Source organism: Homo sapiens, chromosome 22, assembly GCF_000001405.40.
Source record: "Homo sapiens chromosome 22, GRCh38.p14 Primary Assembly".
In the NCBI taxonomy this organism is placed as follows: Eukaryota; Metazoa; Chordata; class Mammalia; order Primates; family Hominidae; genus Homo; species Homo sapiens.
Window position 1 is genome coordinate 16,653,316 of NC_000022.11, and position 26,368 is coordinate 16,679,683.

Here is a 26,368-nt window from a genome sequence, read left to right on the forward strand (position 1 = left end):
CCACCGCACTCCAGCCTGGGAGACAGATTGAGACCATCTCTAAAACAACAACAGGCCAGGTGCTGTGGCTTATGCCTGTAATCCCAGCAATTTGGGAGGCCGAGGCAGGTGGATCACCTGAGATCAGGAGTTCGAGACCAGCCTGGGCAACCTGGTGAAATCCTGTCTCTACTAAAAATACAAAAATTTAGCAGGGCATGGTGGCACACACCTGTAATCCCAGCTACTCGGGAGGCCGAGGCAGGAGCATTGCTTGTACCCAGGAGGCAGAGATTGCAGTGAGCTGAGATCACGCCATTGCACTCCAGTCTGAGCAACAAGAGCAAAACTTCGTCTCAAAAAAATAAAAAATTAAAAAATAACAAAAAATGAGACAGAAAACAAATATTTTGTTTCATTATTGCTTGTTAGTTGATTAAAGTAATTCTGCTTCCACTTTATTTTCAAAGACACTAATTGCTACACTGAATAAAACCTTAATGGAGTTTCATTATAAGTATCTATTATCATTTGATTATTTTCTACATAGAAGCATGCAAAAAGTTTAAAATTCAGTTTCATTTGACTTAGTCTTGACTGTAATGAAGGACTCTACGAAGAGGGGACACAGTGTTTATGAGCTGGAGTCCTAGTAACTGCTTGGTGGCAGAGTCCCAGTCATTCCCCAGTTCAAGCCATGGGCAGATAGATGGGTACTGTCCTTCAGTTCTTCTTACCCATTCACTTGCTTTCTTTATTGCTTCAAAAGCCCAGGGAATATTCTTAGGTTAAAAAAAAATAAATGTTTCAGATTTCAGAATATAACATGTGAAATGTAATGTGGTACTAAACCCATCACATTATATCACACAAAATGATTCTGCCAAAAGTTAAGATATTTAATAAAAGCAGTTTTCCTTGACATCTTCCGGAAGTTCTTCTAACCATCTGAACTTGAGCTTATGCACTGCATTGTCAAGTGTCCTGTGCCCCCCACCTCCTGGCTTCCACGTGCCTCCAGGCATCCCTGCTGCCTACAGGACAGCTCAGGTTCCAGCCTCTCTACAGTTGTTTGTGGTTGTCCCCTTTCCAAGCTTCTCAGTCTAAATCCTATCCATTCTTCATGCACAAACTCAAGTAGTATTTCACAAACGAGGCTTCTGTTTCTCTCTCCTTCCCACTGTACTGACTTGATTAGGTCCCTTCAGAATATCTGACAGTCCCCCATGAAACTGGCATCTGTTCAGCTGTGTCACATAAACCAGGAACAACTTGGTAGAATAAGCTTATCGAGTCAAGTGTGTGTCCACTGAATGGTGTCAAATATTTGAGACTGTTGAATATTCAAGTCTATTCAACACTCAGAAAAATTCTGGGGTTGTTCATTAATATTAATTAGCTACTTCCTCATTTGTTCTGTCATCTGTTAGAACTTGTTAGTGAACAAGTGGCAACATACACCAAAGTTCTTCAGAAAATTCTATGGGAAAACCTAATATTTTGAAAATTCTCTCCCTGTTCCTCATTTCTCCCTGTGAACTGGGAAAGGGCCATCAGTATAGCATGATGGTGAAGAGCTGGGTTTGAGTCCTGACTCTGCAATCACATGATACTGGCCATGTGATACTGTGTGGCTTTCATTCAACACTGGGAATCTCAGTTTCCTCAATTGTGAGAATAACATGAGGTCCCATGGGTTTGTGGTGGAAATCAACAAAGCTTATAAATTTAACGTGCATACTAATCCCTGGTACACAGTGGGCACTCAATAAATGTTCACTGAATGTCATGATAGAATGAACATACTAAATAAGAACCATGCCCGAAGTTTAAAAGACCGACATTTCCTGGTAAATGTTCGTCTACTGACAGTTACTGACTGCTGAAAACAACAAAACTGGCTTTGAATATTTTCACTAATTCAGCCGGCCTCCTTTAGCCCTGTGGCCTCTACACTTTTTGGTTCACATTCCACTAGTAAGAAAACCTTGTGCCTACACCCCCAGGTAATGTACTCCTGCATCAATGTTACGTACATCCCGAAATAGAAAATACAGAAAAAAGTTTCAAACATGCAATAAACAGGAAATAAAAAATATTTAATTTTTTTTTTTTTGAGACAAGAGTCTCGCTTTGTTGCCAGGCTGGAGTGCAGGAGCACAATCTCAGCTCACTGCAAGCTTGTGATCCGCCCGCCTCAGCCTTCCAAAGTGCTGGGATTATAGGCGTGAGCCACCGCGCCTGGCCTAACATCGTATTGTCTTATGTACTCAAGTGCCAGCAAACCATTTTGCTAGCACCATAGCAGTAATGTAGTAAGAGCTATATGCTGCAATATACTTGATCAGTTCTGAACATCTTGCTTTAATACTTTGTGGTATTACAGTTCAAAAGCACGTTCAAAGTTTATACTTGTTCTAACAGCTATAATATTACTAATTAGGAACAATATAAATAGAATAATTACCTCTTTGGATGTGCCTATTAAGTCAAATACTAATTTTTTAGTCCCATCTCCTAGCTGTTCAAAGTGTTTTTTCTTTGATATTTATTTAATTAATTCTCTTGGCAAGTGGCACTGGTTTATTTTCACTTGAGGCCAGGAGTTTGAGACCAGCCTGGCCACCATGGCGAAACCTCATCTCTACTAAAAATATAAAAATTAGCTGGGCACGGTGGTGCGCACCTGTAATCCCAGCTACTTGGAAGGCTGAGGCACGAGAATTGCTGATCTTAAACTCCTGGACTTGGTCTTGCTGGGCTCAAGTGATCAACCTGGGAGGCAGAGGTTGCAGTGAGCCGAGATTATGCCACTGCACTCCAGCCTGGGCAACAGAATGAGACCCTGCCTCAGTAAATAAATAAATAAATAAATAAATAAATAAATAAATAAATAAATACAAAAAAAAAAGAAAACCCCCCAAATAGAAAAAAGAATAAATTCTCATCTTTCTTGGCAAACTAATGAGAAGGTATTGCTTTTCAAAAAATGGAAGTATAAATTACATATAGTAAATTATGATTCTTTTTTTTTTTTAGACAGGGTCTAGCTTTGTTGCCCCGGCTGGAGTGCAGTGGCATGATCACAACTCACTGCAGCCTTGGCCTCCTGGGCTCAAGCAATCCCCCCCCCTCCCCCAGCTTCTTGAGTAGTCACACACTACAACACTCAGGTAATTCTTAATTTTTTTGTAGAGACAGGGTCTTGCTATGTGGTCAAGGCTGGTCTTGAACTCCTGGAAGCAAGCAATCCTCCTGCCTTGGCCTCCCAAAGTGCTGGGATTCCAGGTGTGAGCCACTGTGCCCAGCAATGCCTGGGTAATTTAAAAAAGTTTTTTTGTAGAGATGGGGGTCTCATTGGTTACCTAGGCTGGTCTTAAACTCCTGGGCTTGATCTTGCTGGGCTCAACTGGTCCTCCTGTCTCAGCCTCCCAAAGTGCATGGATTACAGGCATGAGCCAATGTGCCTAGTCCAGAAATTCCTGAACACCTGTTTTGTGTTCAAGAACTTTTTCTTAATCGTTACACTTAAAAAATAGTTATCAGGCCAGGCGCAGTGGCTCATGCCTGTAATCCTGGCACTTTGGGAGGCCGAGGCGAGCGGATCACGAGGTCAGGCGATCGAGACCATCCTGGCTAACACGGTGAAACCCCGTCTCTACTAAAAATATAAAAAAATTAGGCATGGTGGCGGGTGCCTGTAGTCCCGGCTACTTGGGAGGCTAAGGCAGGAGAATGGTGTGAACCCGGGAGGCAGAGCTTGCAGTGAGCCAAAACTGCACCACTGCACTCCAGCCTGGGTATCAAAGCGAGACTCCATCTCAAAAAAAAAAAAAATAGTTATCAATATTTCTTTAAATATCATAAAATATCCAGGTAGTGTTTTAATTTTCCCTGTCTCATTTTTTAAAATGCAGTGGGTTTTGTTCAAACTAGGATCTAAACAAGGTCTACTCTTGCTTTTGGTTGACATGTCTCTAAAGGTTTATTTATAGGTTCGCTCCTCAACCCTTTTTTTCTCTTGCCATTTATTTCCCCACATTCCAGACTTTGCTGACTGCATTTGCATGGTGTCACATAACATGTTCCTCTAATCTAATTCAAGTTTAGAAATCAAGGGTTTTCATTTAACTTGTTTGATTTTATACATATTAGTTTCTAACAATATTAGTATCTACCTTCCAAAATAACAAATCAAAAGTGTTATTAACACCATGGCTACTCCCAGTGAGATTTCTTTGTAATATTTTTTAATCCTTAGGCACTATCCCACTAGGGGATTTGACATAATTTGACACAGTCAAATTATTTACTATGTTTTAAAGTCATCTTAAATTAATTCCCAGGCTGGGCATGGTGGCTCACGTCTGTAATCCTAGCACTTTGGGAGGCTGAGGCAGGAGGATTGCTTGAGTTCAGGAGTTCGAGACCAGCCTGGGTAACATGGTGAAGCCCTGTCTTTACAAAAAATACAAAAATTAGCAGGGCATGGTGGTGCATGCCTGTAGTCCCAGTTACTTAGGAGGCCAAGGTGGGAGGATGGCTTGAGCCCAGGAGGCGGAGGTTGCAGTGAGCTGAGATTGCACCACTGCACTCCAGCCTGGGTGATACAGCCAGACTTTGTCTCAACAAATAAATAAATATCAATCTTATCCATTATTACATAAAATATTTACATAGTTCCAAAGTCAAAACTGCAAAACAAATCACACTAGGAGAAACCTAGCTTCCATCCTTGTCCTCTCTACCAAACCTCCCTTGCAACAGTATTTTTATTAGTTTGATTAGTTTTCCCCTTATCTTGCCTTTAAATGAACATAAGCCAATTACATGTGTATGTATATGTGTATATGTGTATGTATGTGCATATGTGTATGTATATATATATCTACATGTGTATGTATGTATGTGCATATGTGTATGTATATACTTATATATACATGTGTATGTATGTGCATGTGTGTATATACTTATACATACATGTGTATATGTGTATGCATGTGCATATGTGTATGTGTATGCATGTGCATATGTGTATGTGTATATGTGTATGCATGTGCATGTGTATGTATATGTGTATGTATGTGCATATGTGTATGTATATATCTACATGTGTATGTATGTGCATGTGTATGTATATAGTTATGTATACATGTGTATGTGTGTATGTATGTGCATATGTGTATGTATATACTTATATATATGTGTGTATATGTGTATGCATGTGCACATGTATGTGTATGCATGTATGTGTATGCATGTGCATATGTGTATGTATATGTGTATATGTGTATGTATGTGCATATGTGTATGCATATACATATACATATATACGTATGTCAGAGGGATCCTACTCTGGTCATGCCCCTCTCGCCATGGGGTGGAGGGTCTGTAGGGACAAGAGAATGTGCCCACCCCGGAACCCACATCCTCCTTTTTAGACCCTGCAACTCTAGCGTTCCTGACCACATGGCCCTGAGTCCACTTCCAGGGTCTTCCCTGGTCTGTCATCCTGAGTTTGAACAGTGCTGCCATCTCACTGGTGCTGCAAGGTGGCTGGGGTGAGGGGGCACTGGCATGGGGTCTGGATGGCATTTTGATGGGTGGGGTGGGGTATTCATGTGTGCAGGCAAGGCCTCTTAGGGTGCTAGGGGTCAGCCAAGGGCTGAATTTGAACCTGGCCTTCCAGGTGGTTATGAAGTTGTATTTGCCAAGGGAGGAGATTAGGACACACTTCTTAATCTAATAGTTTGCTAGTTTGATTTATAACTTTTTAAATACTTGTATTGTTATAAACTATAAAGTTATAAACTTTAAATACTTGTATTTTTGTCCCAGGCCCTGCCATTGTTGGGAACAGGGCTGGGCCCAACAGTCACATTGTGGGTCTTCTGGAGGCACCCAGAATCAGCACACTGCAGTGAAAAGTACCATATCCAGAGCCAGAAGTGCCGGGCTCCAGGGGGAGCTGCACTGAAACTCTTTGAGCCCATTTCCTGTGCAGCCCAAGGCACAAATACCACATAAGCCCTGCCCGCCACAGGAGACTGGGGCAAGCTGTCACCTGCAAACAAATTATCTTCCTACATACTTATAAAGTAGTCTACACATGTAAGATAATTCCCTATAGCTTGTTTGTAAGGTTTATTAAATAAATAGTTGAAAATATAAATAAGTTGCGTAATACTATAGTTAAAGCCACCTGGAAATAGAAGCGTCATCCAGTTCCATCAGTGATTTGAACACTATTCCCTTTTTTTCCACCCTGGTGCGAATAAACTGTAGTATCTCATTGTGGCAATTAGGTCCAGGAGACATTCTCTTCATTTTATACCTAAAGGGGAAAAAACTCCGTTAAGTCTGTTGGAAACTCTGCATCTCAAACTGCCTGTTTATAAAATTCCCATTGAAGAATTATAATACAATTAAATCACAGGACATGAGCAGATCGTGAAACTCTCTAATACTCTTCAAGGTCCTTAATTAGCTTGCTATTTAAATAAATGAGGACGGTTGGAAACGTGTGCCTATCATACTATCCTGATGGTTGTCAGGAAACTGACCTGTATCCAGAGTGCCCCTCGCTTGCCATCTTCAATAACCAGAGAGGCATGAAGTTCAATGAAGGAAACCCAGTTTTTAGGCTCTTGTTACAAATAGCTTAGAAGAGTAAACCTAAATATTCAACAGATAAACAACAGTTATAACCAGTTACACTGGTGTATCAAGTTATTTCTAGTGGTTAGTACCTACAGGTATCCTAATCAAGATATTTTACTATATTATGAAATATCAAAATTGAAAAATGAATGTTTACATGTGTTGAACTCAGAATTAACAACCATTTTTATTTAAAAATGCAAGCTTCATTTTTTTTTTTGAGAGACGGGCTCACTCTGTCACGTTGGAGTGCAGTGGGTGTGATCAGAGCTTACTGTAGCCTCCAACTCCTGGACTCAAGTGATCCTCCTACTTTGGCCTCCCAAAGTCTTGAGATTATAGACATGAGCCACAGCACACAGCCAAAAAGTGGTTTTAGGGAAGGAAAAAAAAAAAAAACCCAAATCTTTGTCTTATAATTAAGAATATATGGGGTGAGGAGACAAGATGGCCGAATAGGAACAGCTCCGGTCTACAGCTCCCAGTGTGAGCAACGCAGAAGACGGGTGATTTCTGCATTTCCATCTGAGGTACCGGGTTCATCTCACTAGGGAGTGCCAGACAGTGGGTGCAGGACAGTGGGTGCATGAGCCGAAGCAGGGCAAGGCATTGCCTCATTCAGGAAGCACAAGGGGTCAGGGAGTTCCCTTTCCTGGTCAAGGAAAGGGCTGACAGACGGCACCTGGAAAATCAGGTCACTCCCACCCAAATACTGCGCTTTTCCGATGGGCTTAGGAAACGGCGCACCAGGAGATTATATCCCACACATGGCTCGGAGGGTTCTACGCCCACGGAGTCTCACTGATTGCTAGCACAGCAGTCTGAGATCAAACTGCAAGGCGGCAGCGAGGCTGGGGGAGGGGCCGGGCTAGCTTAGGTAAACAAAGCAGCCGGGAAGCTCGAACTGGGTGGAGCCCACCACAGCTCAAGGAGGCCTGCCTGCCTCTGTAGGCTCCACCTCTGGGGGCAGGGCACAGACAAACAAAAAGACAGCAGTAACCTCTGCAGACATAAATGTCCCTGTCTGACAGCTTTGAAGAGAGCAGTGGTTCTCCCAGCACGCAGCTGAAGATCTGAGAACGGGCAGACTGCCTCCTCAAGTGGGTCCCTGACCCCTGACCTCCGAGCAGCCTAACAGGGAGGCATCCCCCAGTAGGGGCAGACTGACACCTCACACAGCCGGGTACTCCTCTGAGACAAAACTTCCAGAGGAACAATCAGCAGCATTTGCGGTTCACGAAAATCCGTGGTTCTGCAGACACCGCTGCTGATACCCAGGAAAACAGGGTCTGGACTGGACCTCTAGCAAACTCCAACAGACCTGCAGCTGAGGGTCCTGTCTGTTAGAAGAAAAACTAACAAACAGAAAGAACATCCACACCAAAATCCCATCTGTACATCACCATCATCAAAGACCAAAAGTAGATAAAACCACAAAGATGGGGAAAAAACAGAGCAGAAAACCTGGAAACTCTAAAAAGCAGAGCGCCTCTCCTCCTCCAAAGTAATGCAGTTCCTCACCAGCAACGGAACAAAGCTGGGCGGAGAATGACTTTGACGAGTTGAGAGAAGAAGCCTTCAGACGATCAAACAACTTCGAGCTACAGGAGGAAATTCAAACCAAAGGCAAAGAAGTTGAAAACTTTGAAAAAAATTTAGACAAATGTATAACTAGAATAACCAATACAGAGAAGTGCTTAAAAGAGCTGATGGAGCTGAAAACCAAGGCTCGAGAACTACATGAAGAATGCAGAAGCCTCAGGAGCTGATGCGATCAACTGGAAGAAACGGTATCAGCGATGGAAGATGAAATGAATGAAATGAAGCGAGAAGGGAAGTTTAGAGAAAAAAAATAAAAAGAAATGAATAAAGCCTCCAAGAAATATGGGACTATGTGAAAAACCAAGTCTACGTCTGATTGGTGTACCTGAAAGTGACGGGGAGAATGGAACCAAGTTGCAAAACACTCTGCAGGATATTATCCAGGAGAACTTCTCCAATCTAGGAAGGCAGGCCAACATTCAGATTCAGGAAATACAGAGAATGCCACAAAGATACTCCTCGAGAAGAGCAACTCCAAGACACATAATTGTCAGATTCACCAAAGTTGAAATGAAGGAAAAAATGTTAAGGGCAGCCAGAGAGAAACGTCGGGTTACCCACAAAGGGAAGCACATCAGACTAACAGCGGATCTCTTGGCAGAAACTCTACAAGCCAGAAGAGAGTGGGGGCCAATATTCAACATTCTTAAAGAAAACAATTTTCAACCCAGAATTTCATATCCAGCCAAACTAAGCTTCATAAGTGAAGGAGAAATAAAATACTTTACAGACAAGCAAATGCTGAGAGATTTTGTCACCACCAGGCCTGCCCTAAAAGAGCTCCTGAAGGAAGCACTAAACATGGAAAGGAACAAGCGGTACCAGCCACTGCAAAAACATGCCAAATTGTAAAGACCATCAAGGCTAGGAAGAAACTGCATCAACTAACGAGCAAAATAACCAGCTAACATCATCATGACAGGATCAAATTCACACATCACAATACTAACCTTAAATGTAAATGGGCTAAATGCTCCAATTAAAAGGCACAGACTGGCAAATTGGATAAAGAGTCAAACCCATCAGTGTGCTGTATTCAGGAAACCCATTTCATGTGCAGAGACACACATTGGCTCAAAATAAAGGGATGGAGGAAGATCTACCAAGCAAATGGAAAACAAGAAAAGGCAGAGGTTGCAATTCTAGTCTCTGATAAAACAGACTTTAAACCAACAAAGATCAAAAGAGACAAAGAAGGCCATTACATAATGGTAAAGGGATCAATTCAACAATAAGAACTTACTCTCCTAAATATGTATGCACCCAATACAGCAACACCCAGATTCATAAAGCAAGTCCTTAGAGACCTACAAAGAGACTTAGACTTGCACACAATAATAATGGGATACTTTAACACCCCACTGTCAACATTAGACAGATCAATGAGACAGAAAGTTAACAAGGATATCCAGGAATTGAACTCAGCTCTGCACCAAGTGGACCTAATAGACATCTACAGAACTCTCCACCCCAAATCAACAGAATATACATTCTTTTCAGCACCACACCACACCTATTCCAAAATTGACCACATAGTTGGAAGTAAAACACTCCTCAGCAAATGTAAAAGAACAGAAATATAACAAACTGTCTCTCAGACCACAGTGCAATCAAACTAGAACTCAGGATTGAGAAACTCACTCAAAACCGCTCAACTACATGGAAACTGAACAACCTGCTCCTGAATGACTACTGGGTGCATAACGGAAATGAAGACAGAAATAAAGATGTTCTTTGAATCCAACGAGAACAAAGACAAAACATACCAGAATCTCTGGGACACATTTAAAGCAGTGTGTAGAGGGAAATTTATAGCACTAAATGCCCACAAGAGAAAGCAGGAAAGATCTAAAATTGACACCCTGACATCACAATTAAAAGAACTAGAGAAGCAAGAGCAAACACATTCAAAAGCTAGCAGAAGGCAAGAAATAACTAAGATCAGAGCAGAACTGAAGGAAATATAGACACAAAAAACCCTTCAAAAAATCAATGAATCCAGGAGCTGGTTTTTTAAAAAGATCAACAAAATTGATAGACCGCTAGCAAGACTAATTAAGAAGAAAAGAGAGAAGAATCAAATAGACGCAATAAAAAATGACAAAGGGGATATCACCAATGAGCCCACAGAAATACAAACTACCATCAGAGAATACTATAAACACCTGTACGCAAATAAACTAGAAAATCTAGAAGAAATGGATAAATTCCTCGACACATACGCTCTCCCAAGACTAAACCAGGAAGAAGTTGAATCTCTGAATAGACCAATAACAGGATCTGAAATTGAGGCAATAATTAATAGCTTACCAACCAAAAAAAGTCCAGGACAAGATGGATTCACAGCCAAATTCTACCAGAGGTACAAGGAGGAGCTGGTACCATTCCTTCTGAAACTATTCCAATCAATAGAAAAAGAGGGAATCCTCCCTAACTCATTTTATGAGGCCAGCATCATCCTGATACCAAAGCCTGGCAGAGACACCACAAAAAAAGAGAATTTTAGACCAATATCCTTGAGGAACACTGATGCAAAAATCCTCAATAAAATACTGGGAAACCAAATCCAGCAGCACATCAAAAAGCTTATCCACCATGATCAAGTGGGCTTCATCCCTGGGATGCAAGTCTGGTTCAACATATGAAAATCAATAAACATAATCCAGCATATAAACAGAACCAAAGACAAAAACCACATGATTATCTCAATAGATGCAGAAAAGGCTTTTGACAAAATTCAACAACCCTTCATGCTAAAAACTCTCAATAAGTTAGGTATTAATGGGACATATCTCAAAATAATAAGAGCTATCTATGACAAACCCACAGTCAATATCATACTGAATGGGCAAAAACTGGAAACATTCTCTTTGAAAACTGGCACAAGACAGGGATGCCCTCTCTCACCACTCCTATTCAACGTAGTGTTGGAAATTCTGGCCAGGGCAATCAGGCAGGAGAAGGAAATAAAGGGTATTCAATTAGGAAAGAGGAAGTCAAATTGTCTCTGTTTGCAGATGACATGATTGTATAACTAGAAAACCTCATTGTCTCAGCCCAAAATCTCCTTAAGCTGATAAGCAACTTCAGCAATGTCTCAGGATACAAAATCAATGTGCAGAAATCACAAGCATTCTTATACACCAATAACAGACAAACAGAGAGCCAAATCATGACTGAACTCCCATTCACAATTGCTTCAAAGAGAATAAAATACCTAGGAATACAACTTACAAGGGATGTGAAGGACCTCTTCAAGGAGAACTACAAACCACTGCTCAGCAAAATAGAAGAGGATACAAACAAATGGAAGAACATTCCATGCTCATGGGTAGGAAGAATCAATATCGTGAAAATGGCCATACTGCCCAAGGTAATTTATAGATTCAATGCCATCCCCATCAAGCTACCAATGACTTTCTTCACAGAATTGGAAAAAACTACTTTAAAGTTCATATGGAACCAAAAAAGAGCCCACATCGCCAAGTCAATCCTAAGCCAAAAGAACAAAGCTGGAGGCATTATGCCCCCGACTTCAAACTATACTACAAGGCTACAGTAACCAAAACAGCATGGTACTGGTACCAAAACAGAGATATAGACCAATGGAACAGAACAGAGCCCTCAGAAATAATGCCACATATCTACAACTATCTGATCTTTGACAAACCTGACAAAAACAAGCAATGGGGAAAGGATTCCCTATTTAATAAATGGTGCTGGGAAAACTGGCTAGCCATATGTAGAAAGTTGAAACTGGATCCCTTCCTTACACCTTATACAAAAATTAATTCAAGATGGATTAAAGACTTAAACGTTAGACCTAAAACCATAAAAACCCTAGAAGAAAACCTAGGCAATACCATTCAGGACATAGGCATGGGCAAGGACTTCATGACTAAAACACCAAAAGCAATGGCAACAAAAGCCAAACTTGACAAATGGGATCTAATTAAACTAAAGAGCTTCTGCACAGCAAAAGAAACTACCATCAGAGTGAACAGGCCACCTACAGAATGGGAGAAAATTTTTGCAATCTACTCATCTGACAAAAGGCTAATATCCAGAATCTACAAAGAACTCAAACAAATTTACAAGAAAAAAACAAACAACCCCATCAAAAAGTGGGCAAAGGATATGAACAGACACTTCTCAAAAGAAGACATTTATGCAGCCAAAAAACACACGAAAAAATGCTCATCATCACTGGCTATCAGTGAAATGCAAATCAAAACCACAATGAGATACCAGCTCACACCAGTTAATGGCAATCATTAAAAAGTCAGGAAACAACAGGTGCTGGAGAGGATGTGGAAAAATAGGAACACTTTTACATTGTTGGTGGGACTGTAAACTAGTTCAATCATTGTGGAAGTCAGTGTGGCGATTCCTCAGGGATCTAGAACTAGAAATACCATTTGATCCAGCCATCCCATTACTGGGTATATACCCAAAGGATTATAAATCATGCTGCTATAAAGACATATGCACACGTATGTTTATTGTGGCACTATTCACAATAGCAAAGACTTGGAACAAACCCAAGTGTCCAACAATGATAGACTGGATTAAGAAAATGTGGCACATATACACCATGGAATACTATGCAGCCATAAAAAATGATGAGTTCATGTCCTTTGTAGGGACATGGATGAAGCTGGAAACCATCATTCTCAGCAAACTATTGCAAGGATGAAAAACCAAACACCGCATGTTCTCACTCATAAGTGGGAATTGAACAATGAGAACACATGGACACAGGAAGGGGAACATCACACACTGGGGCCTGTTGTGGGGTGGAGCAAGGGGGGAGGGATAGCATTAGGAGATACACCTAATGTTAAATGACGAGTTAATGGTTGCAGCACACCAACATGGCACATGTATACATATGTAACAAACCTGCACGTTGTGCACATGTACCCTAAAACTTAAAGTATAAAAAAAAAAAGTCAGGAAACAACAGGTGCTGGAGAGGATGTGGAGAAATTGAACATTTTTACACTGTTGGTGGGACTGTAAACTAGTTCAACCATTGTGGAAGTCAGTGTGGTGATTCCTGAGGGATCTAGAACTAGAAATACCATTTGACCCAGCCATCCTATTACTGGGTATATACCCAAAGGATTATAAATCATGCTGCTATAAAGACACATGCACACGTATGTTTATTGTGGCACTATTCACAGTAGCAAAGACTTGGAACAAACCCAAATGTCTATCAATGATAGACTGGATTAGGAAAATGTGGCACATATACACCATGGAATACTATGCAGCCATAAAAAAGGATGAGTTCATGTCCTTTGTAGGGACATGGATGAAGCTGGAAACCATCATTCTCAGCAAACAATTGCAAGGACAAAAAACCAAATACCGCATGTTCTCACTCATAGGTGGGAATTGAACAATGAGAACACTTGGACACAGGAAGGGGAACATCACACACTGGGGCCTGTTGTGAGGTGGGGGTAGGGGGGAGGGATAGCATTAGGAGATATGCCTAATATAAATGACGAGTTAATGGGTGCAGCACACCAACATGGCGCATGTATACATATGTAACAAACCTGCACGTTGTGCACATGTACCCTAAAACTTAAAGTATAATAATAAAAAAAAAAGGGAAAACATGAGAAAGGCAGGGACTATAGTTATGTCAACAGGGACAAACACTGCAGTTTTAGTCAAATACATGCCATCTTTGTAGTAGATTTTGACAGGTAAATTCTAAATTATTTTCTTCTTGATAAGTAAATGTGATGCTTAATGACATGGCAGCTGTTAGTATCTTACGCCATTTATTAAAGGTCTACTAAATCCTTTCAAGGCATGTGAGCCAGTGCTCCTGAGAAAAGCAGTGACATACATGCTTTCTCCTGATGTCTCCAAGTATGTAAAATTCATTAAAGCTATTCCTGAACAATATAAAGGAAGTTCCCTCAGTAAGATAAATCTTCCCAATCTTTTGCCCCAGGAGAGAATGTGGATTATAGAAAAATAGTGGGTGTGAGTAAAGTGGGAAATTATTTGGGTAATGAGAATATATTTTTTTCTTTGGGGCAAGGAAGCAAATCATGAAAAGAAGATTGGAATACAGAAATATGATACTAGTATACATGGTAAATTCTTGAGAAAGAGGCTGATGAAACAAAATTTTAAAACGCAGAAACAAGAATACAAGATTTAGAACAAAGTTTATGAAAAAAGTGTAAAAAAATACATTCTTGTTCAGAATATATAAAGAACTCTTACAAATCAACAACAAAAAGGCAATCAATTAAAACATGGTCAAAGGATAACGACCAGGTTTTTCATCTAAGAACATAGACAATGGCCAGTAACCACATGAAAAGATGGTCAACATCAAAGGGAAAGGCAAATCAAAACCACAAAGAGGTACCACTTCACACCACTAGAATGCCTATAATAAAAAAGATGAAAAATAAATACTGGAAAAGATGTGAAGAAATTGGAACCCTCATACACTGCCAGTGGAAATGTAAAATTGTACAGCTGTGTTGAATAACAGCCTGATAGTTCCTTGAGATTAAACACAGTTACTATTTGATCTCGATTCCCACTTGAGTATTTACCCAAGAGGAACATATGTCCACATATGTGTCCACAGTACATCATTCATAATAGTTAAAACCTGGAAACAATACAAATGTCCATCAACTATTAAATAAAATGTGGTATTTCTCAGCAATAGCAAATTAATTGCAAATAAGAGGAAATAAACTACTGATACATGCTGTACGATATAGATGAGCCTTGAAAACATTATGCTAAGTGAAATAACCCAGACACAAAAAGCCAATGTTTTATGATTTCACTTATATAATATACCCGGCATAGATAAATTCACAGAGACAGAAAGTAGAATACAGGTTACTAGGGATGAAGAGAAGGATTATGGGAAGATATTTAATGGGTACAGAGTTTCTATTAGGGATGATGAAAAAATTCTAGAAATGGATAGTAGTGATTGTTGTATGACATTGTAAATGTACTTAATGCCACTGAACTATGGAGTTAAAAATTGTTAAAATGCTAAATTTTATGTTATGTATATTTCACCAGAACTTTTAAAAAGAATTGACAAAGTTTAGAGCATTTTAAACATAATACAAGATTTGAACTAAAAAATTCAAGAAAAAACTACATTTAAAAATTATTTTAAATTAAATACCAACTTAACCTTCTCCCCCAAATCAATTAATCTTATAATTATATTAACAACATAAAAACCATATGATTATGTATTAGATGCAGAAAAAGCATTTGAGAAAATTGAACACTTTTCATTAACAAAATAATCTCAGCAAACTGGAGATACAAGAGAATCTCCTCGACATGTCAAAGGGCATCTTTAAAATACCTAATGCTAACATTCTATGTAATGATGAAAGACTGAATGCTTTCCCCTAAGATCGAGAAGGCATGTCAGCTCTTACCACTTCTATTCAACACTGTACTGCAATTTCGAGCCACTGTAATCACTTTTTAAAAGGGAGTTGGGAGAAGGAAGAAAGGAAGGAAGAAAAAAGGAAGAAAGAAGGGAGGAAGGAAGAAATGGAGGAAAACGAAAGGCATCTAGACTGAAAAGAAATAGGTGAAACTATCTTTATTCACAGACATAATCATCTATGTGGAAAACCAAGTGAAACCAATTACAACGTTACTGGCACCAATGAGTTTTGCCACATTGTAGGATACATGATCAATATATAAAAACCAATTGTAATTCTATATGTTAGAAATAAACTGCTAGGAATTGAAATTTTAAAAATAATACTATTTATAATAGCATTAAAATATAAAATTCTTGGGAATATATCTGACACTATGCAAAATATCTGTACAATGATAACTAAAAAGTAAGAAGATCTAAGAAAATACCTTATTCATGAGTTGAGAGACTCATCATTGTTAAGATGTTCATTCTTTCTCATGACATAATGCAATCACAGTTCAAATCCAAGCGGGTATTTTGTAGAAATTGACAATTGATTTTAAGACTTTCATGGCATGTAGATGACACAGAAATGCGCAGTAACTCTGAAAAAAACAAAAGAATAAATTTAGAGGAAAAATACAACCCAGTTTGAAGAATTATTACAAAGCTACAAAAATCATAACAGTGTGATTTTGGCATAAAGATATAGAGATCAGTAGAACAGAACAGAGTCCAGAAACCAAGTATACATAAAACACATACACACTCTCTCTCTCTCTCTTAAAATATGACTGGTCAAGTGACTGCTTATGAACTGTAATTGCTTGATACATGAGTCTAGCATCTCTTGGCCTTAAATCACTACCATAACCTTGAGAAGCTGATGATGCCTTTGTTTTCTGAGAACAGTTTCAGTGTGGAAGCTGACAGTTCCGTAGAGATGGAACAAGTGTAGAGCCAGAAAAAAAAGGGATACACATAGACTTCTTAAGACTTTTTTTAAAGCTATGGAAGATGATAAACTAATGAGGCATAAGTATACTTTTCATTATGAATGTTTATGTTTTCACATCTTTCAGTAATGTGTACAAGAAAAAGTATTTAATGTGGTATTTGTTAACCAAGCAACCCACTCACTATTTATATTTATTTCAGAAATCCATGATTTAAATTTAATTCATAATTTTTGGCAACATACCTTCAGCTACTTCTACAGTTATGTTTCCTTGTACACCTGCTGCATCTGAAACAGTCAAATATTATTAATAATGTTTAAGTTAAACAAGAGACATTATCATGTCGCCCTATTGTATGTTAAGGAGGGTTGATCAACACTAACTTGAAAATCTGAAATCCAAAATGCTGTACAATTTGAAACTTTTTGAGCACACGCATGATACCACAACAGGAAAGGTCCACACCTGACCTCATGTGACAGGCTGTGGTGGAAACACAGTTAAAACTTTGTTACATGCAAAACATTTTTGTAAATCATTGTACAGGCCAGATGTGATGACTCATGCCTGTAACCCCAGCACTTTGGGAGGCTGAGGCAAGTGGATCACCTGAGGTCAGGAGTTCAAGACCAGCCTGGCCAGCATGGTGAAACCATCTCTACTAAAAATACAAAAATTAGCCTGGTGTGGCTGCACGCACCTGTAGTCCCAGCTACTTGGGAGGCTGGGGCAGGAGGATTGCTTGAACCTGGGAGGCAGAGGTTGCAGTGAGCTGAGATCACACCACTTCACTCCAGTCTGGGTGACAGATCAAGACTCTGTGCCCCACTGCACCCCCCAACCCTGGGCAAAAAAACAAAAACAAAAACAAAAAAAGGTAAAACATTGTGTAGAATTATCTTCAGGCTATATGCATAAGGTATATATGAAACATAAATGTATTTCACGTTTACTCTTGGGTACCATCCCTAAGGTATTTCATTAGGTGTATACAAATATTCCAAAATCTGAAAAAATCCACTTTTGGTCCTCCCAAACATTTTGGACAAGGGATATTCTAGAAAAATAAAATTCCTTTTCAGTGTGACAGAAAATAAGAGATTGACTTACTGAACTTGAACCTACCAAAATTTTCTGAAGCTGCTCAATTTTGTCCACTCGGTTTTTCATTCTAATTTTTAACATGGCATTTTCTATTTTAAGCCTAAAATATATATTTTAAAATAATTATTCTCAGATATAATTTTTTTAAATCATATAAATTCTGAACAAACATCTGAAGGAATAATTATATAAATTCTGAGACATTTGAAAAGTAGAAAATTGAGAAACCATTGTTATTTTTCTACCTTTGTTTTGTGGATGATGTATAAAATTAAAAATAATGTAGAAAATTTATGCATTTCAAAATAGCCTAAAGCTGAATTTTTTCCTTGGCTTCACATAGACATACTTATTATCTTAACTGATACAATTCTCCTACTACACTACTCATGTGCTTTGTAAATACTCAAGATATTTTGTATGTTGCTTTAAATTGTACTTTTGCATGTGGTCTGGCATCTCCTCAGCACATCTTAGAGTCTCTGTGCGTTGATCCTGCATTTCTTGCAACTAAAACAAAGAATTAAAAACAACCTTTAGGTGTGGAAATAACCCAAATGCCCATCAATAGGTGAATGAATGAACAAAATATGGTTATATATAAAATACTGGTTTTAGACTATCACAATCTATTTTATTAAAAAATGATAATCTAGGACAAATCGACCTATTACCTTTTTTTTTTATTTTTGAGACAGAGTCTTGCTCTGTCGCCCAGGCTGGAGTGCAGTGGCACCATCTCGGCTCACCGCAAGCTCCGCCTCCCGGGTTCACACCATTCTGCCTCAGCCTCCCGAGTAGCTGGGACTACAGGCGCCTGCCACCACGCCTGGCTAATTTTTTGTGTTTTTAGTAGAGACGGGGTTTCACCGTGTTACCCAGGATGGCCTCGATCTCCTGACCTCGTGATCCGTCCATCTTGGCCTCCCAAAGTGTTGGGATTACAGGCGTGAGCCACCGCTCCCGGCCCCTATACTGTTTTTTAACTAAATTTTACTGGAATGCAGCCACACCCCTTCAGTCTGCATATTGTTTACGGCTACTTTTGTGCTGTAACTGTAGTGTTGAGTTGTTGCAACAGGGATCTTATGGCTCACAAAGTCTCACATACTACTACTTGGCCCTTTACAGAAATGTTTACTGCCTATGCTCTAGGATTAAAACACAATATTTTTCTTTTTTAATTTATATTTTATCAGATACTCAAATTTACAAAATTGGTAAAATGGGGAAACATAGGAAATTATAGTAAGCATTTATATTTTTCAATTCCAAACACCACTATATCAACTATAATTTCATTTATTTTTTGTCTGTATGCATTTAATTTTTGTTGTAGCAAGAAAACTTGCACTTTTTTTTTTAAGACGGAGTCTTGCTCAGCCACCCAGGCTGGAGGGCAGTGGCACCATCTTGGCTCACTGCAACCTCCAACCCCCAGGTTCAAGTGATTCTCCTGCCTCAGCCTCCCGAGTAGCTGGGACTACAGGCGTGTGCCACCACCATGCCCAGCTAATTTTTGTATCTTTTTTAGTAGAGATGGGGTTTCACCATGTTGGCCAGGATGTTCTCAAACTCCTAACCTCAGGTGATCCACCCGCTTCAGCCTCCCAAAGTGCTTGGATTACAGGCATGAGCCACCGCACCCGACCCATTTTTAACATTTGAAACTAAGCATCATCTTTCCTTTCCAGGTAAACCACAAGAACATTTTAAAATACACAGAAAAATAATTAAAATAGATAGATTCTCCTATAGAGTGGCAGGGCTCACGTCATCATTAGGAGAGAATTTATTTAAAAGTGTCATCTTAAAATGCAGGGATGTCCATTGACATGCCAGAGGAGAAGCCACGTGATCAAAATGCCCACTTGACCCACCCAAACATCTCAAACCTAGCCTTTGCTGACCTTCTATAACCCCATTTGTAAAGTTTTTTGTTTTTGTTTTAAACAAGAGAAAGTAGACACATACATGTTGGCAAATGCTAACTGTCCATAGTCATATGACTATGACTATAGCCCGATATAAAGTCAGAGTAAGGATTTTCATCAAAATATTAATTCTGCAGAATGGCCTTTCTGTACCAGTTAACCAGAAACCCATGAAATAAGTAAGCATAAGTCTTTATTCACACAGAAAAGTAGAGATTAAAAAAAGAAAATTTTCTGAAACATTCCATTAGACATTATCCTCTGAATTAATCTGGCTTGTCTCCACGTGGCAATGAAAGAAATCACTAAAAATATACTGTAAAAAGAAAAAAGAATTCTCTAATCTTCTGTGAGAAATGATGTGTAATTCTCAACTTTCATAAGGGGAAATAGTGTAAGAAAAATATTTATAATTATAAAACATGGCAGAGATTGAGAAATGGGTGTATTATAAAGATAATCAAATTTTAATAAAATTATAATGAAAATACAAAAGAAAGCTCTCCACTGAAACTAGTGTCCTGAAACACTTGATATTATTTAACCAGCTACAGAGTAACTGTTGACATGCTAAGTTTCATACATACTTGACTTCTCCTCTGGCCTAATTTCTTTTTTGAACTTCGTGTCTCATCTTCTAAATTAACACGACGTTGTGATGAAATCTCTAGCCTAGCTTCTGACAGCAAATGTTTGTTCAGGGCATCACCCACTTCTCGTTGAAGCTATCTCACGACTACCTGGTAAGATGTTATTTTTGTTACTGATTTTACATATAACCTTATTATTAAATTTTGTTAATAATATTTAACTCTAATATATACACTTTGAAAAATACCACCACACACTGATTCTTCTCCTCCTCCTCATGTGTACACATTCCTGTTTATTACTGAATCCAGTTAAGGATAAAGAAGGCGTTATCTTTGTGCCACACTGGTGCTGTGTTACTCATACAACACATTCAGTGCACTGATGAATGTGCAATGCTTAAAAACCTTCTGAAGTCTCAAAAAGAAACAGGTATGTGGGTGGGACTGGTGGCAGTGAATTTTACACTGCAATGTTTTCCCTCTTTTTTATAAGAAGAAGCTCAAATCAACCTCAGAGTTCCTCACATATTCAGTCACCAGCTCAAATCCTTCCAATAGATTTCCATCTCAGAAGAAAACTAACATTCCAATGGCCTTAGAGGCTCTAGTTAACCTGGCTTCCACTTCCCTCCCTGACCCCAGCTGCTATGTCTCTCTTCCCTACTCCCACCGTTCCTACCACCCCTCATTAGTCTAAAAATGAGGATCCGATGTGAAACTAATAAATCACAGACAGCTAAGCTGATCTTTGTACTGGACAACCTTATATCCAAATGAGTCATTGAGCCTTGAAATAAAAATTATGACCATATTTTTGACTGAAAAATTGAAAGTAAGTTATAAATGCCAGTGGGAAGATTAAATCAAATATGGTTTGGGTAACATTTACCACATTTTCCCCATATTATAATGTAAGAAAGATGTCTTTAAAGAATGGAATGGTTGTATCAATATATAATTTGAGACTGAATTATTTTCAGATTTAAGTCAAATTGACATGAATTAAAAAAAATTATACCAACTAAGATACATTAAAAGCTATTGAGGAAGAATAATTATAAAATAGGAAATACACTTTAGTTCATCTGTTCATCTGGGAAATCTGGAATTAACTGTCAAAGTAATCTAATTAATTGAATCTATTTCAAAATAACACTTTAGGTATGAATATTTCTTTATATCTGCTTTATCATAATCCTAAAATGTGGCAACATACAGACATTAAAATTATTTCAGCACTGTAAGACTACATTATAAATGTTAGTCTATATTAACATTTTGTAACTGAAACGTTTAAAATTTCCTAAGTGTCACATTGTCTTTACTCAAAGGAAAGCATCTCCTAGCTCTAACTTTTATTTGCTGGAAACAAATTCAGTTTCTAAGGTGATATAGCAGAACCGTTTATCATGTATATATTTTGATATTCAACTAGATTCAGTGTTTAGCCATAACCAAATATACTTTAAATTTTACTTCAGGAAGTTTGAAAAATACTTATTTTTCTTGATACTTACTTCTCCTTTTTCTTTCTCTTTTTCATATTGGCATTGTCTTTCTTTTAAAAGAGTGCATTCCTTCATCAACCCCTTATTGTTCTCTTCTAGCTTTCTACACTCAGCTTGAAGTTTTTCTACAGTATCTTCACATTTGACTTGGATATTAATTATTGTTTTTTCCTGATTGTCAGCTTTCTTGTGAGCATCATTACATTGCTGTTGATACAACAGATTTTGGCTTTGTAGTTGAAATAGTCCATCCTCTATAGACTGCTGCTTTCTCACATATTTTTCCAAAATAGGTTGGTCATTTTGGTACATGTGTTCAATGTCCTTCAATGGACACTGTGTTCGGCTTAGGACTCCTTGCATGTGTTCTATACCCAACGTCTTTTCTTTGAGAGCCTCTCTTTCATAACGGAGCTCAGTTTCCAGGCCACTGGATGTACTCTCAGCTTTAGAAAGTTGCTGAGAAAGAATCTGAATGTGAGAATTAGTATTTTCTTGTAAATGACACCATTCATTCACTGTGCTCTGGAAAGCAAGCTGTAGGTCTCTTTTCAATGACTGACATTGATCATGATCACATAGGGCAGCAGCCAGTCTACAACGGTATGATTCCATTTCTGTTTCCAGTCTTGGGGTGCTTTGTTTTTCCTTCTCTAGCTCAAAATTGAGCATTGTATTCTCATCCATCAGAACATTAAGCTCTTTACTATACCAGGTTATTGTTTTTGTTAATGTTTCCTCATTCAGCTTTAGAGTCTTTTCAAGGTCTTCATTGTTTTCCTTTATAATTTCAATATCTTTGAAATATTTATTTTCAGTTTCCCGGTTCTGATGTTTTATTGTGTCTATTTCCAGCCTGAGTCTGGCAATTTCATCCCGCATCAAGTGATTTTCCTGCCACAGGTCTCTTTCTTTTTCATGAGTATGAGAAGTCTAAATAAAACAAAGAAAACTTTCAAGTAGCACCCAATAAAATGACATACTATGATTTCTTCTGAAACTAAATAAGTAATAACCTGTACATTTATATAATGAAAGAGTTGCTATCTGGATATCCAACTGGAAAAAAAAAGTTGAATCAAAACCTCAAACCTTTTAGAGCATAAATTCTCAAAAGTTCAAAAACGTATTTGAAGACAATGAATCTATGAAAGCCAAAAAAAAAAAAAAAAAAGAAACCACTAGAAATTCTTTAAGAATCTGATTTTTTTAAAAAAGGCTTTTACTGAATTTCAACAAACCCAAAAACATAAATGATTAATAACTATGACTACATTTAGAAACTGGGCTTACACACTAACATCTAACCTTTACTTTCCCTATAGTAAGAGCCTTAGCTCTGCAGATATCTGGACAGATAAAATTTTCCAAATTCCTTAAGTTTCTTTTTCCTGTGAATATTTTATAGATAATTCTACTTTTCTTACATTTTTAGAGGCAGTTTTAACAATGACATGTATTGATAAATGACAGATCTAGGCATTGTACTAAGCACTTTGGTATGCATACATCAATAAATTCATTTAGTTATCACAATTCTGCAGGGAAAGGTTAAAAATAGAAGCAAGCTGCTGGGTTTTTCCTAGGTCCTCTGACTGCTTCTAGTGCTCCTCCACCAGATCACAGTTACTTCCATGGGGTAGATATACCAATACAATAGAAAACTTTTCTTTCAAAACACCAAAGAAGATAAAATTTATAAAGCTCTTCTTAGGAAATCCTGAGATTATGTACTATTATGATAACTTTTATTTCCTTTTCACAATGTTTGAGACCATAATTAATGCAAAATAGGGAAAACTACACTGAACTATATCACTAGGAACAAATTACTTACCGACAAAATATCACTAAGTATATATATTATGGGATATCATTGTTTTCCAAAGGTCTTTGAGCTGAAATAAAATATAACTTTGAAGCCAAGATTTATAATAAATAATTGTAGCTATAAGTATCATTTATTTTTAAGATGAAATAAAATTTGTGGTTTGTTTTAGAACTAAGTCAAAGGGATATTCTAAGTAATATTAATAAAATAAAATTAGAAATGTAAAATTTTACCAAACATTAATTTACCTGATTTGAGTTACTTCTTACAGTCTTCAATTCCACTTCCAATGATTTGAGAGTCAGTTTAGATTGTTTTTTCACTTCAGTTTGTGTCCTATATTGCTCTTCCATTATTTTTAACTCTTCTGTATCTTTTTCATACAACTCTTCAGCCTTTATTCTTTCTTCTTCTTGTTGTTGTAAGATAAATCTGTAGTTAAATATACTTATCTTAAAATCCTTTAAAAACAAAACACTCATATGCTGGTTTATTATCCTAATAAAGTGCCCATGTTCTTGAATATTTTTTCTTTCTAGTTTTCATATTAATTTGTCACTTCGGTGTCTTCCAAAGAAGACATATAAATTGAAAGGTAGTAAGGAATGAACATCCTGCTAATTGATTAGCTTCTGTTACTAGTAATTCTAGTAAATATTATGGAAAAGGATGTTGAAAATTATTAGGTAAAGTTACAAGTTAAAAATTACCTTTTCTTTTTTTTTTTTTTTTTTTTTTTTTTGAGACGGAGTCTCGCTCTGTCGCCCAGGCTGGAGTGCAGTGGCGCAATCTCGGCTCACTGCAAGCTCCGCCTCCCGGGTTCACGCCATTCTCCTGCCTCAGCCTCCCAAGTAGCTGGGACTACAGGCGCCCGCCACTACGCCCGGCTAATTTTTTGTATTTTTAGTAGAGACGGGGTTTCACCGTTTTAGCCGGGATGGTCTCGATCTCCTGACCTCGTGATCCGCCCGCCTCGGCCTCCCAAAGTGCTGGGATTACAGGCGTGAGCCACCACGCCCGGCCAAAAATTACCTTTTCTTCACACAGTAATAATTACTCCTCAGTCAGGATGAATCATTTAGAGTTAGCTAATTTTAAAAAAGTTATTTTTTATAAACAAGTTGATACCTTCACTAGAAATAAATTTTCATCTTCATGAAATACTGCAGGTATCCCTAAACATGATTTACATTGTAAGATAGCACCTTCAGATGCTCTCCAGATGACGATAATCCAAGACTAAGCTAAGGAATCTAAGATGTTACCCCATACGTTTTATGTTTCTTTTTCTGGTAACACTTTTGACTTATTCTGTTGATTAGTATGTATTTTACAAACAATTTTAAAATCCATTCTCAAACAAGACAAGATCTAATATTTAAACAATAAAGAATAATATCTGCCTTCCGCATAGAAGTTTGAATTAAACTCTGTAGCAGAGACAGATGTTCACTAATCAGTAATCACTTTCCATTTTACTTTTCATTCGCTGCATATTAAGAGTAAAACTGGGCCAGGCGTGATTGCTCACACTGTAATCCCAGAACTACGGGAGGCCAAAGCCAGCAGATAACTTGCGGTCAGGAGTTTGAGACCAGTCTGGCCAAAATGGCAAAACCTCATCTCTACTTAAAAAAAAAAAAAAGAAATTAGAAAGGCATGGGGACATGTGCCTGTAATCCCAGCTACTTGGGAGGCTGAGGCACAAGAATCGCTTGAACCCGGAAGCAGAGGCTGCAGTGAGCCGAGATTTCGCTGCTGCACTCCAACCTGGGTGACAGCGCAAGACTGTCTCAAAAGGACAAAAAAAAAAAACAAAAACTGGTTAATTTTAACAATAATCACTCTGGGTGGAGAAAAGTATACATTTCATACTCAAATTATAAATTATAAACTTTCTTAAGAACAACTTAGTAATATTAATCAAAGATCTCTTTTAAAAAGCTCCTATACTCTAACCAGATAGCTCTATTTTGAAAAATTTATCCAAAGAAAAGAAATAGAAATGTAGACAACTATGGATATACAAGATGTTTCTTACAGCATTAATACAAAAAATTAAAACCCGCAATTTCAATTTATTAAATAATGAAATTTCCATAGGGTGGAATTCTATATAGCCATTAAAATAATGATTTAAAGGAATATGCAATTAATTATTAGAGAAGTATTCACCATTAACTTGTGATTTTTTTATCCAAAAATTTCACATTCCACAATTTTAAGAGGTTTTCTTCTCTATTAAACCCTAGAAGGTAAGTCAGCTATTACAAAAATTATCCTATATATCCTTAGTATAAACAGTTCAAATATTTCTTTAAAACTAGAATGTGATACCTCAACTTACAGAGCTTTTTTTTTCCTTTCAAGATTCTGATGCTCTGTGATTTGGTTTTGTCTGTTTCAGATAGTACCTTTTGTAGTATGCTAATATTATTTTTCATTTTTTGAAATTTTACTTTTAAGTCGTTCACAGTAACACTTTTTATCCTCTATTGATCTTTCACATGCAGCTGTTGCATTCTTGATTTTCGATAGGTTAACAAAATCTGTAACCGGGAGAAGACAAAATAGAGATAAAATACATGAGTAGGTTTTTAAATATAAAGGACTATGCATTTCAACATGGCACTCATTCATACACTGAATGAATATGTACATATTAAGTGCTTGCAATGTGGAAAATATTTTAGAAAGCTCTTCATATAAAACAGACAACACATCTGATCTTGTTTAGCT

At 37.8% G+C, this 26,368-nt stretch overlaps 3 pseudogenes across 1 annotated transcript, besides 1 other annotated feature; all 3 read right to left on the bottom strand.

The window, feature by feature from the left end:
• Positions 288-6,419, bottom strand: PARP4P3 (poly(ADP-ribose) polymerase family member 4 pseudogene 3; annotated as a pseudogene).
• ANKRD62P1-PARP4P3 (ANKRD62P1-PARP4P3 readthrough, transcribed pseudogene) lies at positions 393-22,225 on the bottom strand (annotated as a pseudogene). The gene is made up of 9 exons (NR_040115.1): positions 21,808-22,225; positions 20,285-20,437; positions 18,203-18,273; positions 16,902-16,946; positions 16,147-16,305; positions 8,161-8,240; positions 6,543-6,654; positions 6,182-6,313; positions 393-761 (listed from the first exon to the last, which is right to left on the bottom strand). The product of NR_040115.1 is annotated as an ANKRD62P1-PARP4P3 readthrough, transcribed pseudogene (transcript).
• Positions 3,810-4,010: a silencer, noted in NCBI's record as "peak4438 fragment used in MPRA reporter construct". NCBI's record gives its function as "represses an SCP1 promoter by STARR-seq MPRAs in K562 erythroleukemia cells {active_cell/tissue: K562}" and the evidence as "EXISTENCE:reporter gene assay evidence [ECO:0000049][PMID:32103011]".
• Positions 18,350-26,283, bottom strand: ANKRD62P1 (ankyrin repeat domain 62 pseudogene 1; annotated as a pseudogene).